A 17842-nucleotide genomic window follows, 5' to 3' on the forward strand; every position below is an offset into this window, starting at 1 on the left:
CTGGAAGACTCAAGGACGATAAATGGATCTGGGTGCCAGGGCTCCCAGGACAGAGTGAACTCCTCTGTCTGGTCAGAATCACCCGAGCAGGAAAGCATGAAATGGCACCATTAGGTGAAGGCTGCAGCTGTCCGGGGAGGGAGGCTGGGGGTGTGGAGAGATGCCTGCTCCCAGCCTGCTGGGCCACAGGTCAAGGTCTGAAGAGGAAGGGGCCTGGGAGGCCCCAACAAGGGAGAAGACACACAAGGGAAGGGACTGAGGAAGGGTCTCTCAGGCTTGGCCTGCATCAAGCCCCCCTGGGGAGTTTGTTAAAATGTAGACCCTCTGCCATCGCACCTGTCTCCCAGAGCCTAACTCAGAAAACTCAGTGGACTGGAATGTGCCCAGGGATCTGCATGGTAACAAGCACCCCCATTTCCTCTCATGCAGGTGATCTGGGCACCACACTTTGAAAAAATGAGGTTCTAAGTAATTCAGAAATTCTTGCCAGAGAGGTCAAAGTCCAAGCCCAGTTGCTGGAAGTAAAATAAGCCTCAGAGGCACTGCGGACCTGGAGGGCATCAAGGCAGGGCAGGCAGGAGGACATTGGTGGCAACAACAGGTTCAATCACCATAACTCTGTTTGGTGAGCACACAGATGTTCTCATCTAACCCACCTGGGAGGAGGGCACAATTACCAGCATCATTTCAAAGACAAGGCAAATTCTGCTCAGACAGGTCGTAAGTGACCTGCCCAAGGTCACACAGTTGATCAGAATAAAGAACCGGGTCTAAATTTGACTGAGGCCAGGTCTCCTGCTCAGGAGCAAGGTAGGGGGCCCAGTCCTCAGGGAAAGCTCAGGAAGGGGGAGTCTCCAATAGTGGGAAATGATGCTGGAGAAGCAGGGGTGGACCAGAAGCAAGGTCACTAAACAGAATCCACGCAGGAATTCCCTTCTCTCCCTGGTCCACTGGCCACTGTCCTTCTGTCTGCCCAGGATGGCCACTTGGCCCCTGTGACAGTGTCAGTCCCAAGCACTCAGGCCTCTGCAAGTGGCCCCAAGGCTGGGAGCAATGGGTCCAGGAGGAACCATGCTTGGCATGCATATCCCAGCACAGACCCTAGAACATGCCTGGGTCTCGGAGTGCTAGTTAACTGCCTCTGGCCCCCTTTGCTGGGGAGAACAGCCACATTTGGCCTGGGTTGGGTGAGGAGTTGGGGAGCAGGTGACAACCTGGTTGGCTTATCCTTTATCTTATCCTTTTCTTTCTATCATGTAGAGAGCTGTCAGGGCAGAAAGCAGGACTTCAGGTGAGTATCAAAAAGAATGCTCTCAACAGAGAGCCTAGGGATACACCAGGATGGGGAGTGCAGGGGGAAGGGGCCACCATCTCTCCCCCTATTATGAGCCCTCTTATAACAAGCAGAAACAGCATGTCTAGAGGCTCTCTCTTTCCTTAACTCCAAATGCCCAGATGTGCTCAGAGCTCAGCCACAGTTCTTGTACCTAAACTAAAGAGAGACTTGATTGACAATCAAGTTGAGTAGGAGGGAAGGGGAGCTAGGCTGGAGGAGGAAGGTGGGGTGAGACGACCTCACACACTCACCCTCACACTCTCAGTAGTTCTGGGATGTTCTGCTTTGAGGGTCTTTACTCTGCCCATGGTCAGCCCACGTGGGAGAATCACAGAAGACCCAGATGCCCTGGAGCTTTGCTCTGTGTGGGTGAACAGGGAATGATCTCCAAGGGAGATAGTGGAAGAATCAGTGTGCAGGGGAGTGAGCAAGATACCTGTGTAAAAGGGTGGGGGAGAAGCATATGTATGCTTGTATGCTTCTATATTCACAGCACGGCTCTGGAAAAGTGCATAAGGAATCGATGACATTAGCTGTAGTTGCTTTTGGGGAGCAGAGTTGGGAAAGCAGGAGCTGGAAAATATTTCACTGGGTATCTTTCTGTATCTTTAAAATTTTGAAGCCCATGAAAATCTGCCTGTCTCTTCCACCCTCTGGTACTTCAGAACCCTGGAGCTGGATCCTCAGCCTTGAGAAGGAGAAAACAAACGAGGGGGGTTTGTGTGTTTTTAAATTTATTTAATTTTATTTTATTTTTTACAGACAGCGTCTCACTCCCTTGCTCAGGCTGGAATACAGAGGCGTGATCATAGCTCACTGCAGCCTTCAAACTCCTGGGCCCAAGCAATCCTCCCACCTCAGCCTCCCAAGGAGCTAGGACCACACACATGCATCACCATGCCTGGCTAGTTTTAAAATTTTTTGTAGAGACAGGGTACCACTATGTTGCTCAGGCTGGTCTTGAACTCCTGGCCTCATGCGATCTTGCCGCCTTGACCTCCCAAAGTGCTGGGATTATAGGCATGAGCCACTGCGCCCGGCCAAAAGAGAGAACAAATGAGTGGGTTTGTGTAGCTCACCCGGAAATCGCCTGACCTGCTCCAGGTGGGAGGCATGCTGCAGGGAGAATGCCACCAGGACCTGCCCCCCTCACCCTCAGAGGACACCTGGACTCTCACTTTGCCTCTTCTTCCCTACAAAAAGTCGGGAGACTAGAAGCCCTGTTGTCTCCTCTAGCAGGCTTCTGGGATTCCCTTGGTGTGCCCCCAAATGAGACTGCCTCCAAAATGGGATCCTGATGCCACATCAAAGATGAGTAAGTTCGATCCTCACCCTCACCAAAAGCATATGTGTGTGTGTGTGCACACATGTACACACACTCACCATCAACTGCCACCCCAAATCAATTAAATATGATCTGGGGACTAGGCACTTCTGTGGATTATCCCACTCAGTACTGGCCTCGATTAATGCAGATAATGGAGAGCTGACTGGATACAGCTTACAGTATTTAATCTTTCCCGGCATTGTATTTGCAGAAGCCAAAGTAATGAGATGGAAATAGGTTAACCAGCAAGACACCTGTCGCCGAAGCTCGTAGGCTAAAAAGATCAATACTTAAGGAGAAATGTTTGTCTTTATGTTTTGCACCAGTGCTTCAGTCCAACATTTGGTCCTGGGAGGCTGAGGATAAAGTGTTAATGAATTAATTTTCTAGCTCATTCTGAAAATAAATTACCCATTTCTTTGAGTTCCTTGTGTACCGAGGTCTGATGAGCCTTCTTGGTCAGTCCACGCACACCTCCACTTTGGAGCAAGGTTGTCATTCTGCACACATAGAAGCAGAGTCTGTTCTTGACTGGCCCTGGGGAAGCTAACAACTCCCAGGTTCCTGAGAGTTGGAACGTCCTTCTAGTGTCTAACTTCAATCTCTCCTGCTGCGGCAACACTCATTTTCCTTCTCTTGCATCTATGCTGAGATCAGCAATCCCAGGCCACCTGATGGGCACCTCAGAATCCAATGGCTGAGGATTGAGCCCTTCCTGCATCAATCTTGGGCTGGCCTGTTAGCCTCCCTGCGCTTGTGCAGCTGTGTGTGAGGGTTAAGCATCCCTGCCCTCCCTGCCTTAAGGACTGCTTCCATGATCAAAGGTGAAGTTTCCTGAGTAAGGCTCTGCAAATCTGCAGCACCTCACGCCTGCCTCGGATTATTTCTCTCTGAACCTAGACCCCAGGCATGGATACCCTTAAATCACAGACAAATATTAATAAAACCCAGCCTGTGAGGGCTGAAGGACTCTTACAGACAATGCAGTCCACAGCCTCTTTTCGAAAACAAAGAAATCGAGGCCCCAAAGGGAGGTGGCTTACCTCCATCACACAAACAACACCACTAAATGGTGGCAGAACTGCCTGAGTTGTCAATTCCTGGATTCCAGGCCTTTGTAGCTCCTCAGGCCACCCCACCAAGCCCTGGCTCCATTTGATCCTTGGCTAACTCTTGTAGGGTGTAGGGGTAGCGGTGGTGAGGGGGCAGAGGGATGCCCTGGCCAGGCAGGCCCCTCAGCACACCCTCCGCTCTGCCACCCCAGCCAGGATCAACTTGAAACAGCACAGAGGAGCCCGCCATCCCCGTGGGAGAGAAGCTGGAGTCCAGGCTCCCTGGAGAGGGAGTTAATACTGCAGCACGGCGCACTCTAGCCAAGGCGGAGAAGCTGCTGAGTCACAGTCCAGCTGCCTGGCCAGCCCTGAGCTGCCTGCTGGGGCCCCCAGCTGCTCTCAGCCCAGGGGGCTGCCTCTGGCCCCCAGACAGGCTGCCTTCCCACCTCCTTCTCCAGAGACTCAGCATCTTGGGCCTCCAGGGTTCCCCACTCCCCAGCACCCCACAACATCTCCCAAACCCACAGGCAGCTGTCCTGGGGCGGAGGAGAGGGTCTTCCATTGGTTGAGTGTCAAGATGCTTGGGAGCACGCCAGGAAGGGTGGGGGACCCCGAATGAGTGATTGAGTGGGGACAGATGGAGGCTTGGGGACCAGTGGGCCCTGGGCTGCCTGGTGTAGGATACGGAAAGTGTGTGTGTGTGGGGGTGCACCCGTGGGCCCCAGGAGGTCTGTTGTGCGCATGCTCTGAGTGTGAGGGAGGACGGGTAGGACCGTGGGGGTCTGCCCTGGTCGTGCTCCCAAGAGAGGCACTGCTTTCTGCAGAGCGCGTGGGCAACTGTCAGCTGGGGAAGCGCTCACCAGGGGAAAGGGGAGCTCTCTGTGGCTTAGCAGTGATTAACCCACACAATCAATGGATCCTCCAGCCACAGTGTGAGCAGCTCTGCCTCATGTGAGGCACACAGCACCTTCCAGCACAGTCCCGATATCTTTCATGCCAGATGCACATCTTCAATTTCAGCTACAAACCATTACAAATTGATGCATTTTCTTTCTGACTAAATGTTACAAGGTTTGAACATACTATCTCTGCCGATCACCGCCCCTCTAAGGGATGGGTTTAGAGGTTTGGCACGAAAGCAAAAGCCTTTTAATAGGAGTGCGTGAGTGTGGTGGTGTGTGTGTGATGTGAGTGTGCATATGTGGTGTGTGTACGTGTGTGGTGGGTAGGGGTATACGTGGTGGTGTGTGTGTGTAGGATGTGTGTGCTGTATGTGTAGTGTGTAATGTGGGCTCTAGGGTGTGGGGGACAGTGGGGTGTGTGTATATGGTGTGTGTGTGTGATGTAGGGGGTGGTGTGGGTTAGGGGTGGAGGCTCTAGTGGGGTGTCAGGGGGTATGTGGGTAGTGGTGGGTAGTGGCATATGTGTGGTGTGTACATATGTGTGGTATGGGGGTATAGTGAGTTTGTGTGGGATGTGTGTGTCAGTGCATCTGTGGTGTGTGTAATATGTGTATGTGTTGTGTGTTGTGTGTAGTGAGGTATGTGTGCAGTGTGTAGTAGGGTGTGTGTGGTGTGTGTGTGGTGTGTGTTGTGTGGTGCATGTAGTGTGTAGTAGGGTGTGTATGTGTGGTGTGTGCATGTGGTGTGTGTGGTGTGTAGTAAGGTGTGTACGGTGTGTCTGTGTGGTGTGTAGTAGAGTGTGGATGTGTGTGTGGTGTGTGTGGTGTTTAGTAGTATGTGGGGTGTGTAGTGGGGTGTGTGTGATGTGTGTGGTGTGTGTGTGGCATGTAGTAGGGTGTGTGTGTGGTGTGTGTCTGTGTGGTGTGTGTGGCATGTAGTAGGGTGTGTGTGTGATGTGTGTGGTGTGTGTGTGGCATGTAGTAGGGTGTGTGTGTGGTGTGTGTCTGTGTGGTGTGTGTGGCATGTAGTAGGGTGTGTGATGTTTGTGGTGTGTGGTATGTGTGTGGTGTGTGTCTGTGTGGTGTGTGTGGTGTGTAGTAGGGTGTGTGTGTGGCGTGGACTGGGGGTGTAAGGGGAGGGGGTGTTGCCAGTGTGCGGGGAGGGGGAAGGGAGCAGGGGCAGGAGCCCGGGCTGGGTGGCAGGTGCCCCCGCTCAAGCTGCGGGAGAGTAGCTGGAGAGACCGCAGCCTCCTCCCCAGCCTGGAGGCCCGGCTCCTCCCTTCCTGTGGCCCGGCGAGGAGACCTAGTGGTGCCCCCTGCTGTCCGTCCAGGAGCCTGCCGCCTGCCTCCAGCCCCATCTCCACCCAAGCCAGGCCCATGCCCTCCGCACACAGCCGCACCCCCGCCAGGCTCACTGCCTCCCAGGCCCCCAGTCAACGCTCACACCCTGGAAAGGAGGAGGTGGGCAACCGGTGGGAGGCCGGAGGCAGAAGGAGGCTCCATCAACCCAGTAATGGAGCAGAACATCAGCACTGTGGCATCTGCTAGCCGGCAGCACCGGGGTGGGGGTCCTGTCTCCATCTCTCAGGCCCAGCTGAAATGGGTGACAGCAGCCAGTGCAGGGACGTGGCAGAGAATGCCAGAAAGGCTGTGTATGTGTATGTGGGTGCACGTGAGCGCCATGTGTATGAACACCATGTATGAATGTATAAACATGCATGAACCGGCACTGTGAACATGCATACAAACATTGCGTGCAGGTGCATTACACTGCCACATGTAGAAATGTGAGAAGCCCCAGGGAAGGGAGGGCTGGGGGTCTGGGGCCACAGGACTTGTCCCGGAAGCTGGGGTGATAGCTACAGGCCCCGTACTTGGGTAATGGGAGGGGGTGGACTACGGTGCAGGTCACCTTACAGCCTCGGGGTTGGAAGAGACCACAGGGTCACCAGCCCCCACCCTCCCTCTGCAGCGGCAACTCTTGCCAGACCCTCTGTCTCCAAAGGTGGCAAGAGGTCTGGGACCTGAAAGAGGCATCAGGAGACCTGGTTTCTCTCCACTTCTTTCCATCCTTTGGAAAGTGGCTTTGCATCTCCCAAGATAGCCTCTCAGCTTTCATTTTTTTTTTTTTTTTGAGACAGGGTCTCACTCTGTCACCCAGGCTGGAGAGCAGTGGCGCAATCACAGCTCACTGCAGCCTCGACCCCCACGAGTAGCTGGGACTACAGGCGCACCACCATGCCCGGCTCTTTTTTGTAGAGAAGGTGTCTCGCTATGTTGCCCAGGATGGTCTCAAACTCCTGGGCTCAAGCAATTCACCTGCCTCAGCCTCCCAAAGGGCTGAGATTACAGGCCTGAGCCACCGCATGCGGCCTAGATAGCCTCTCAGCTTTTAGAACCGAGCCTTCCGAGATGCTTGGAGAGTTCTACCTCTGAAGGCGAGCGGGCACAAAGAGTAGTGGGGTCATGAGAGAACTTGGGCTTTAGAACAGCCAGGGCTGCTTTCCAACCTGACACTTAGCAGCTCTGCAGCCCTGGGAGATGAGTTCATTTCCCTGGGATCATTTCTTAGCTACAAACCGAGGATCAGGTGCCTGTCTCACAGGGATGTTATGAGGATTGAAGAGGCCACATGTGCTGGCACAAAGTGGTCCCTAAATAAATACTCATTTCCTTTCCTCAGTTCTCCTCTCAGCGGGGCTAGGCCGAGTCCATGCTGACCATGGACTCAAGGACGGACCTTGTGTTACCCACAACGAGGGGTGCAGTGCTCGCCAAGTCAGGGACTCTGAGCCAGCCCCGGCTCTGTCCAGGAGGGCAAGGGTTGCTGCAGAGGTTGTGCGGCTGGGGAGCCTGAGGCCCAGAATTCTCTTCCCTGGCTCTGTGTGTTCCTCTTGCAGAGACTGCGTCACTTCTTCCTGGTGTCAAAGGTACTTGTATAAGCAGCTCAGCTCCTGGAGGATCACTAAGGCTGTGAGGTGGGAACGTGTCTTGTTCACGACTGCATTTCCTGCCAGCTCCCAGAGGAGCAGCCTGATTGCTGAGCCTGGTAGCAGGCAATGGAGGAGGTGGGGGATCTCAGCAGGCACTGCCCCCCCAACTCTGGCAACCTCTGTCCCATCAAGCTCCCTGCTAAAGGAGAGAAGAGAAACCCCAAAGCCGAAAGAGGCACCCTGTCTAGTTCAGACCCTGACACCCAGGGCCTGAGTGGTCATGGGTGGGGTGTGGATGGGCAGGCGCACTGCCTTGCGGTGCTCCACTATAGGTAGGCAGGCCCGTGGCTCCCCATGGGGAAAGAAGGTCCAGTGCAGCTCAGGTTCTCTGGAGAGTCATGCGCGAAGGAAGGGCATGAAGACCACTTCCCCAGTTAATGAGGGTTTGGCCAGGAGTTGTCTGCCTTACCCAACCTTGAAAATAACCCCTAGCATGTTTAATTGCTTAAAAATCCACTCTTTCCTCTGATCTTCACTTTCGTTTTCTCCAAATCCTATGTCAGGCTCCGTGCTAAGTGCTGGGAATACAAGAAGAATAAAACCCAACCCCATCCTGAAGCAGCTCACGGGGAGACAACAGAGCTCAGGCCTTTGGGAGGTGCAGCAGATGTGGTTCTGCCCCTTGACAGAGGAGACAGCTAAGGCTCAGAGATCAGCTTGCCCAAGGCCTCCCGGTGCACTTGAACCCTGACTTCCTAGCACTCAGCCCAGGGCTCTTTCCTTCCCAACAAACAGCCCCAGGGAGCTCCTGAAGCACACTGGGAAGGTGGGTCTAACGGGAAGACCACAAAGGCACCGGGCTCAGAGGTGGGTGCCGGGGGCAGGGAGGGAGACCTCCACTGTGCCCACTCCGTTCCAGCGGTGTATTTCATTTCATCCGGGCCCTGTGAGGTGGGGACTGTGATTCCCATTTTGTAATTGAGGAAACTGGGCCTCAGGCGGAGCGAAACAGGTCGCTCGCTCACAGCACCCTTTCCCAGAGGACGGAAACAGCTGTACTCCCAGGCAGCAGAGTAGCTCGCTTTGGGCCACACCGGGACCTGGGAGAGGTCATGAGACGTCTGGAGAGCCCAGCCTGCTCTCAGTGGGAGCTGGGAGCCAGCCAAGGAAGGTGCAGTCTGGTCCTCCCGTTTCCAAGAGCGCCTCCGTCCTTCCAGATGCTGGCCAGGCGCCAGGGACAGAGATGTACCCATCACTCTTCAGACAGAGATGCCCATTATCACCAACACCTATGACAGCTCGTGGTCTCCAGAAACTAAAGTGGAGCATGCAAGTCCCGGGGGCACAATTAGGTGCTCCAAAGAAGCCAGCTCTCTCCTGCCTGACCGGGAGCCGGGACAGACATGGGAGGTAGGGGCCAGGAGGGATGAACCATGGCCTCAAAACACCCATGGGCTGGAGGAGGGGAGCAATGAGGGGGAGAATTCCAAATTGGAAAGCCTCAACTTGGAATTCTATGTGGATCCAAACCTAGAAGACAGCTCTGCTGAGGAAGAGGAGCCAAGTGAAACACCAGGTGCAGCCAAGTGGGGTGAATTAGCACCTGGGCTCTGGACAGACTGACCTGGACTGGAGTCTCAGCTCTGTCACTTTTAGCCATGGGAACTTGAGCAGGTTGCTTAACCTCTCTTGGCCTCAGCACTCCATCTGCATAACGGGAATGATAATGGAAGCTGCTGTGCAGTGCTGCGAGGCTTAGGAGCACTGTATGTAAAGCATGGCATTATGTCCATGGCTGGTTCCTGAGCCAGGCTGGGCACAGGCCTGTCAGAAGCACACGGGGATGGCTCCAGTGGAGAGGTGGGGCAGCCTCTCTGCTAACCCCCTATTAAGGGCCAGATTAAGCCACCCCTTTTTAAAATTTCCTGGGATAATTCAGGCCTCTCTTAATCAATGGTCCTCCTTCTACCCATGCCTTTAGCTCCAGCCCAGACGGCCTTCTTGATGCCCACCTCTGGGCCAAGTCCTCTCTTCTGAGCCACTGCACTATCCCTGGCTTCTTTCCTGCCCCTGTGTCCAGATCCTGCCAAGCCTTTCCCCGTCCTCCAGCCCACCTTCCCCAATACTCAGGCCTCTCAGCAGCCATGGCTTCTCCAACCGTGGCTGCTGAGTCTCTATTTTGGTTGCTCTAATTTTCAAGTTCTCATTTGTGGGTATCTGACCACATCCTCCTCTCAGAAGTCAGCAGAGTCTAGCTGTTCTTCCTCTAGCTGCCACTCCCATCCTATAGATGACAACACTGGGATGTGAAGAGGTGAGGTTGCCCAGACTCCCCAAGGATGTCCCAGGCAAAACCTATCCCTAGTGTGGTGGCTCATGCCTGTAATCCCAGCACTTTGGGAGGTTGAGGCCAGCCTGGACAGCACAGTGAAACCCCATCTCTACAAAAAATTTTAAAATTAGCCAGGCATGGTAGTGCATGCCTGTCGTCCCAGCTACTCAGGAGGCTAAGGTGGGAGAATCACTGGAGCCCAGGAGTTTGACATTAGGTGAGACCTAGCCATGCCAGCAGACCAGCCAAGCGGCCATACCCAGCAGGCAGCTTGGAGGGGAGGGGCAGGTGTGTTGCTCAGAAGTGACTCTGGAAGTCACTAGCACAAAAGAATAATCCGCTGGGGAGAGTGTGGGCATAAGAAGAAATCCAGAGATGGGCTTCTAGAAATATCAGCATTTGGAGGATTTGTAGAGAAAGAGGAAAGCCAGGGAGATTGAGGAATGACCAGGAATCGGAGGAAAGCTCTGAAGAACAGAAAATGACTCCATGGCAATAGAGCGGTTACACCGGAGGGGCAGGCAGGGGCTGGGAGGGGACAGGGATCCTTCTGGGGAATTTCTTTGGTGATTATACTGGTGCATATATCCATAAGTTGTGCACTTTGCTGAATCTAAGTTATAACTTCATCAAAAAGAAAAACGAATGTGCAGAGCAGAAAGAGCTAGGGGTGGACCCCTGGCTCCCACACACTCTGGCTTGACCAGGTGCTGGAGGACACCATGGGTAGAGAGAGCATAGACCCTAATAGAGCGCCGTGCATCCCATCGCCAACCGGCTTTCCCATGATGCACAGGCGCTTCTGCTGAGAACCACAGGGCAAAGGCACCTAGAACCAGGGAGCCACTGAGGAAAGGCTTCCTGGAAAAGCAGCAGGGAGCCAAGGTTTAGGAGGAGATGGGGTGGGCTTGGAAGAGGCTGGCCAGTTTCCAGGCAAGAGACGTCCACCTGGGTGGGTGTCTGGCAACCACAGACCATGATGGGACCCCTCACAGCCACCACCCTGGAAAGCGCAGCGATGACAGCTGACTTGGGAAGGTGATGACACGGCAGAACACACCCCGGCTCCAGAGACGCCATCATCTGGGACCCTCTCCACAGAGCCTGACTTAGGGCAGGAGAGCCTCCCTGGTCCAGGACACCAGAGGCCTCAAGGTTTTCCCTCACAGGAGCCTCTTTCCACACCCCCGGCCCCAGCAAACATTTGAGAATGGGCCGTTGCCCTGCCTAGCAGTACACAGGGCTCTGGCCTCCCTGCTCTGGGCCAGAGGAGAGGGGAAATGGAATTGGGCAGAGGACTGTCCCTTCATATGACCACTGGTGACAAACACTGTGTCCTGCAGAGCACGGCCCAGGATGAAGCACCTCCACCCACACACATGGCATTCGGCAGCTGCAGGGCCCAGCCCTGCACCATTTCTGAAGGTCCACACATAGCACATATCACAGCTGAGGAAACTGACAGCCAGAGAGAGGAAGGGACTTGTCCGAAGTGACAGAGTAAGAAGCCTGCCTTACTGTGCTCTTCCAAGCTGGCTTGGAATCCAGTGCTCTTCCAAGTGCTCTTCCAAGCTTGGAATCCAGTGCTCTTCCAAATCATCCAGTGCTCTTCCAAACTGGCAAAATCCTGAGCCTCGGAGAGGCTTACTGAGCTCCCTGCCTACCAAAGCCAGCATGGGTGAGCATCTGTGGCTCTCTGGAACCGCAGGGAGTTCCAGTCACCCTGCTGATGACCCCTGCTTGGAGCTATAACTATAAGTGGAATACCTGGGGTGGCTCCTATTAGACCCTGACTCCCTGGAGCTGGCAACAGAGAACCAGCATGTAACAGTCCCCACAGACGGAGCTAGCCTGCATCAGGGTTTCTAATGTTCTGCTGCAGGTTCACTTCGCACTTGAGAAGGAGGAACGACTTCAGTTTTTTTCTAGCAGCTTCTTGGCTCTTCCCAGTGGCCCCTCCCCCAAGCAAAGTCCCCTGAGAGGAAAAAATCACACCACATCTTTGTGGATCAGTGGTGCCTCTGCCCCCACCCAAGACACCGGGCATGTTTCCTCATGAAGAGTGACTTGCGGCTCCTTCGCAGCACTGAGGGCTGGAGCCAGAAGAAGGATGAACCCACTGCGGGGGTCTTCTCTCTTCATGTTGGAAAACAGATTTAGGCTCAAAATGAAGGAGGGTTTTTGCACAGTCAGCACCACCCATTGATGAGTTCGTGGTCCCAGGAGGTAATGAGTGCTCCATCATCGGGAGCATTCAAGCTGAGGTTAGCCCACTATTGGGAGGGATATTATAGACAGGACTCAGGTAAGGGGACACAGCATTGACCTAGATGAAATTTGAGGTCCCCCTTCCAACCCTGAGAGCCTCTAAATCTCTGACATCTCCATCCCAGCCCTTGCTGCCAATTGGCCTCATTTGCCTGGCCCTGCTGGTTTGCCAGGCAGTTTGTCCTCAGAGAGAAGTAGCTGCCAATTATGTGGGGACCACAAGAGTTTCCTTTATGACATCACCACTCTGCAGGAAGGGGCTGAGGTGGGGTAAGAGAGGAGAAACAAGACAGAAGGTGGTACCAGAGAAGGAGTCAGCTCCCCAGGGCCTGGAATCTGCAGTGTTGCCACCACTAGGTAATTTGTGGGGCACACTGCTGTTGGGGTCTCAGGAAGCCAAGTCTGGGCCCAGAAGGGAAATAGCCCAGTTCTGGCCTCCTGACTGGGGTGGGGGACTGTCAAGGGAAAAATAAGCCCAGGCTAGCTCTCTGAGGCTCATTAGAGAAAAAGGTAAATGTCGAAGACGTGTCATGGCAGGCAGCTCATTAAGCCCACGGAGCTTAAAAATAGTGAGACACACAGATATTGGGGGATGGGGAGCTGGGGATGAGACGCCGGCTCATCACACTGCAGGGAAGAACAGCAAACCTGGGAGAAAGTGACTCTATAACCAGTGGAAGAAAGGCTGTGTAGCCATCACCGGATCTCTGGGTAAGCTTGGCGCACAGGGCTGCTGGAAATGTCAGACCCTGTTCTGTCGATGAGAAGACTAAGCCCAGAGGAGGGTGTTCCCAGGCATTACCCAACAGGCTCGACTGTTCTCCATGCAGGGGAAGAGAGAAGACACAGAGACACAGACCTGCCCCGGAGGAATCCAGAGCCCACCTGCCCAGAGAGGCTCCACCTGATTTCCCTGGCTCTGGGCACCCCCTTAAAAGCCCTTTATGCCATCTTTCCTTTCAGTCGAGTGATGCAGGATTTGGGACCAGACAGCCTTTGCTCAAATCCTTCCACAGTTATCTACCAGCTTGGTGGCCTTGGAGAAGTTATTTCCCTGTTCTGGATGTGCTTCCTCTTCTATAAACTAGAGACACTACAAATTCCCACCACAGAGGGGTAAATGCAGCATCCTGTACGTTATGTGTTTGGCACAGGACCTGGGATGCAGGAGGCACTCTGACCGGTGGCATCCAGGAAGTAAGGAATATGGACTAAAGGGAGGGCCAAGGAAAAGTTTACAGGCTGTGGCTGTGCAGTTGGAAGATGCAGAAGCGCCTCGCTGGGTGCTGCCAGGTTAGGTTTGCAGAATGCAGTGAATGCTCTTGCTGACAAAGGATGGGGATAAGTGAACTGGGTAATCATGACCTAGGGGAAGCCACTAGCTCAAATACTGATCCCTATTTAAGTCACCAAAATATGCTGGGCACCCAGTGGGTGCCCAGCGCTTTCCCATAAGTGATCCCAAACCAGGAGCTAGTCCAAGCCTCCAAAGGTGGCTGGGTAGTTCATTGGAATGAGGGCTGCAGTGACTCCAGAGGGAGCAGGACTCCAGAGGAGCAGGACTCAAGAGAAGGGGAGCCAGGGAAGACTGAGGGGATGTGTAGGTGAGGTGGCTCTTTTCTGGCTGAGAGAAGAGAAGGTCCCCAGCCCACACCAAGGGCTCCATAATGGAAGGGAGGCCTAGGGTGGGTCCTCCCCCTCCCCATCTTCATCCCACTCAGCCCCTACCTGGCCTTTAACACACTGGGTGGGAGAAGTGTTGCTGAGCACAGCAGTGACCTGAGGCCCTGGGCACTCATCCCAGTTTAGCTCCACAGGGGACTCCAGTTGCTGAGGAAGAATATAGAACTTATATAGGATGGGGGAGCTGGAAGGAAACTTAGGATCAATTGTTCCAGCCTCTAATTGAATGGTGGGGAAACCCAGAGACAGAGAAAGGAAATTACTACCCCTTCCAAGCCAGTGAGAGAGCCAGATCTAGAATCCAGGGCTCTTTCCATGATATTGCACCTCCCATCTCAGTCCTGTCTTTATGAAATGCCATATTGAAGCTTTATGTATTGGGGAAATTTAACTGAGGCTCAAACGGACACAAATTCCCTAAAGCCACATGGTGAGTCAGACAGCGAAATGCAAGGTGTCTGGTCCTTTCCCAGCATCCAACGAACGTTTCTTGGGCACCTACTACAGTCAGGCTGGGAGCACTTTCAGACGTTCTCTCACTTAAATCTCACATGTGGGAGCAAGTTGGTGGAAGAGCGAAGGGCCAGAGGCCAGGGTCCAAATCCTGGCTCTCTTAGCTGAGTCTCCTTGGACAAATCCCTTGATGTCCCTCAAATGATGCCTCCATTTCTTCACTTTATAAGAAGGGGATTCATAATAGTACCTACCTTGTAGAGTATTATGATAATTAAAGGAGACTATCCATATGAAATACTTAGAACAGAGCCTAGTAATATAAATATACCATTTAAAAATAAGTATACTGGCTGAGTGTGGTGGGTCACACCTGTAATTCCAGCACTTTGGGAGGCCCAGGCGGGTGGATCACCTGATGTCAGGAGTTCGAGACCAGACTGACCAACACGGAGAAACCCCGTCTCTACTAAAAATACAAAATTAGCTGGGTGTGGTGGTGCATGCCTGTAACCCCAGCTACTTGGGAGGCTGAGGCAGGAGAATCACTTGAACCCAGGAGGCGGAGGTTGCAGTGAGCCGAGATTGTGCCATTGCACTCCAGCCTGGGCAACAAGAGTGAAACTCCATCTCAAAAAAAAAAAAAAAAAAAAGTATACCATTTGACAATCCTAGGCATATACCCAAGAGAAATGAAAACACGTATCCTTACGAAAACCCTTCCACAAATGTTGATAGCGGCATTATTCAGAGTAGCTGAAAAGTGGAATCAACCAAATGTCCATCAACTGATGAATGGAGAAATAAAATGCAGTATATCCACACAATGGAATGTTATTTGGCAATAAAAAGAAATAAAGTACCGATACATGCTTCAATGTGGCTAAACCTTGAAAGCATTATGTGAGTGAAGGAAGCCAGGCACCAAAGACCATGTGTTATATAATTCCATCTAAATAAAATATCCAGAAGGTGCAATTTCATAGAGACAGAAAGTAGATGATTAGTTGGCTAAGGCTGGGAGGAATGGAAGAATCGAGGGTGACTGTTAATATGTATGGAGTTCCTTTTTAGGGGTGAAAAAATGTTCTGAAATTAGATCGTGGTGATGGTTGTGCAATTCTGTGAATATATTAAAAGCTATTGAATCGTGCCCTTAAATGGGTGAATTGTATAGTATGTGAATTATAGCTCAATAAAGCTGTTTTCAAAAAGTAAATATATATTTATAAACTTCTATAAGATAGTAAATCATATCCATTCCAATTTAATGATAAGGCTCAGAGCCAGTCAGCAACTTGCCCAAAGTCCCATGCCTAGGAGGCCGCAGGACCTGATTTTGGACTTTGTGTTGTCGAACTCCTGAAGCTCCTAAGACCTGATCCAGTTCAGACTCATGGAGAGCAGGCCTGCCCTTATGTATCTTGGGGAAAGCCTCCATTCCCTGTCCCAATGAGGCCACTCAGGAAGTTCTCCCCGCTCTCTAATCCAAACCCATACAACTTACAAGGGATGATATTCAGGGGGATATGAGGTCAGGAGCAGGGTCACAGGAGACAGGCACCAGAAGGGAAAGCTACATTTCTAGGCAATGCTGGATATCTTCTTTAGGGAAGCCTGGGGAATGGGGCAGATGAAATATAGTGGACTTCAAGACATGAGCTCACGGTTGATTTTGGGGGTGACCTTGGCCAAGAAACCTCATCTCTGGGGCTCTTGGTAAAATGATATTCAGGAAGAAGCTCTGAGGACAGCTCCAGAAGCAGACATTTCTAAGGCTATTTATAAAGTGGCCTTCCCTCTCCTTACACACAACTCACCCCAGATGATCAGGTGGGAAGTCTGTAGGGCAGTGGGCATCACTTGGTTGCTTGCTTGGGTATATACAACCTGGTCACCCCCATGGTTCTTGGCAGAAGATATTGGGGCCAAACCAAGAGGCCCTAACCTAACCATCACTCCAATACTGTGAGCAGGTCAGGTTGGCTCTCCCTCCCAGCCAGGAAGGAGGAAAGAGAAGGAAGCGACAAGGGCACTAACAACCAGGGTCCTTGTCTTACCTGGCAGGAAAGATGCTGAATGTGATATTGACTCAATGTGCTGCTTCTGATCAGCCCCCTGCCTGCCTCCCTGCACAGTGGATAGTCTGGCTGCAAGTGGTAGGGGGAAGGAGCTCCCACTTTTGACAACCCAGGAAAGGCATCACCTCAGTTTGTCTGGAGCTCATGGCCAGGGTGTCCCAGCTTGAAGGAGAGGTTCTCCTGCCCCCTTCTCTGCTTGTACAACTATACACTGCATTCAGAAACACTCCTTCTCCCTTGCTAAGGAGCATTAGGAGATACAAAACCACCATCCTTTTTCCAGGTGAAATAAGGAAGAACAGAAAATGAGGAGGGCCAGATTCAGCCCAGAGCCACCCAGAGTCCAAGTGGCCTCACTGGGAGAGCAGTACACTGGGTTTGGTGCCCTTGGTAGAAAGCCCAACATGCCAGGACCTCAGCCAGCAAGCCAGCATGTGCTCCAGAGCAGGGACAGGGAGAGGCCAACCTGTGCATCCGCTAGGCTCACTGGCTATTTCAGACCATCATCTGCCTCATTCGATCCCAGGACATCTTGGGAGAAGTGAGGAAGGCAGGCATCCCTCTCCACATTTTTTAATGGGGACCACTGAGGTCCAAGAGATAGGGAAAAACCGCTTGCCTGGGGCCATGTGCAGTAACTTAATAGTGGGTTCACTGGATTCTAGATTCTTCTCATCAAAGCCAATCATACCCCTGCCTCGCCCCACTCCCAGCTCTGCTGCTATGTTTCTTTACCTACAAAACGTCAGTCAGTTTTCAGAAACACCATAATAACACTCTTTATAGCACTTTATGGCAAAATCTTTATAGCACCGTGTGTCAGGCACTGCCTATTCTTAGAGCTATATGTAAATAGTCATACATCAAATCCTCATGCCAACCTGATGGCAAGCTATTTCATTTCCATTTTACAGATGAGGAAACTGAGGTAACAAGTGTTTAAGTAACTTAGCCAAAGTCCCACAGATAAAAAACTGGAGGAGCTGGCATTTGAATACAGGCAACCTAGCCCTAGCATCTGAGGTTTAACCACTGCACCACAGTGCCAAGCACATACAAGTACAAGGCTTCGCATATTCCAAGTCTCACTAAAACATGGACTAGGGGCTGGGCATGGTGGTTCACGCCTGTAATCCCAGCACTTTTTGAAGGCTGAGGTAGGAGGATTGCTTGAGCCCAGGAGTTCGAGCCCAGCCTGGGCAACATGGTGAAACCCTGTCTCTACCAAAACAACAACAACAACAAAACAAAAACAAAAACAAAGAAAAACCTTGCAAAACAAAAATTATCCAGGCACGGTGGTGCATACCTGTAGTCCCCGCTATGTGGGATGCTGAGGTGGGAGGATCACCTGAGCCTCGGGAGGTTGAGGCTGCAGTGAGCCGTGATCACACCACTGCACTTCAGCCTGGGTGACAGAGTGAGACCCTGTCTTAAAAAACCTGAAAACCAAAACCAAAACCATGGACTAGGGGC

The 17842-nt window shown here is 52.4% G+C and overlaps 2 long non-coding RNA genes across 2 annotated transcripts; one reads left to right on the forward strand and one right to left on the reverse strand.

Moving 5' to 3' along the window:
* Positions 2376–12329, reverse strand: LOC105370746 (uncharacterized). Its single transcript, XR_007064553.1, has 3 exons — positions 11400–12329; positions 3100–3163; positions 2376–3019 (listed from the first exon to the last, which is right to left on the reverse strand). It is a non-coding gene; the product is annotated as an uncharacterized LOC105370746 (long non-coding RNA).
* Positions 12330–12426: 97 nt separating this feature from the next.
* LOC105370747 (uncharacterized) lies at positions 12427–13379 on the forward strand. Its single transcript, XR_932053.2, has 3 exons — positions 12427–12506; positions 12783–12860; positions 12980–13379. It is a non-coding gene; the product is annotated as an uncharacterized LOC105370747 (long non-coding RNA).
* Positions 13380–17842: the final 4463 nt, after the last annotated feature.

This window comes from Homo sapiens, chromosome 15, assembly GCF_000001405.40.
Source record: "Homo sapiens chromosome 15, GRCh38.p14 Primary Assembly".
NCBI classification, from domain to species: Eukaryota; Metazoa; Chordata; class Mammalia; order Primates; family Hominidae; genus Homo; species Homo sapiens.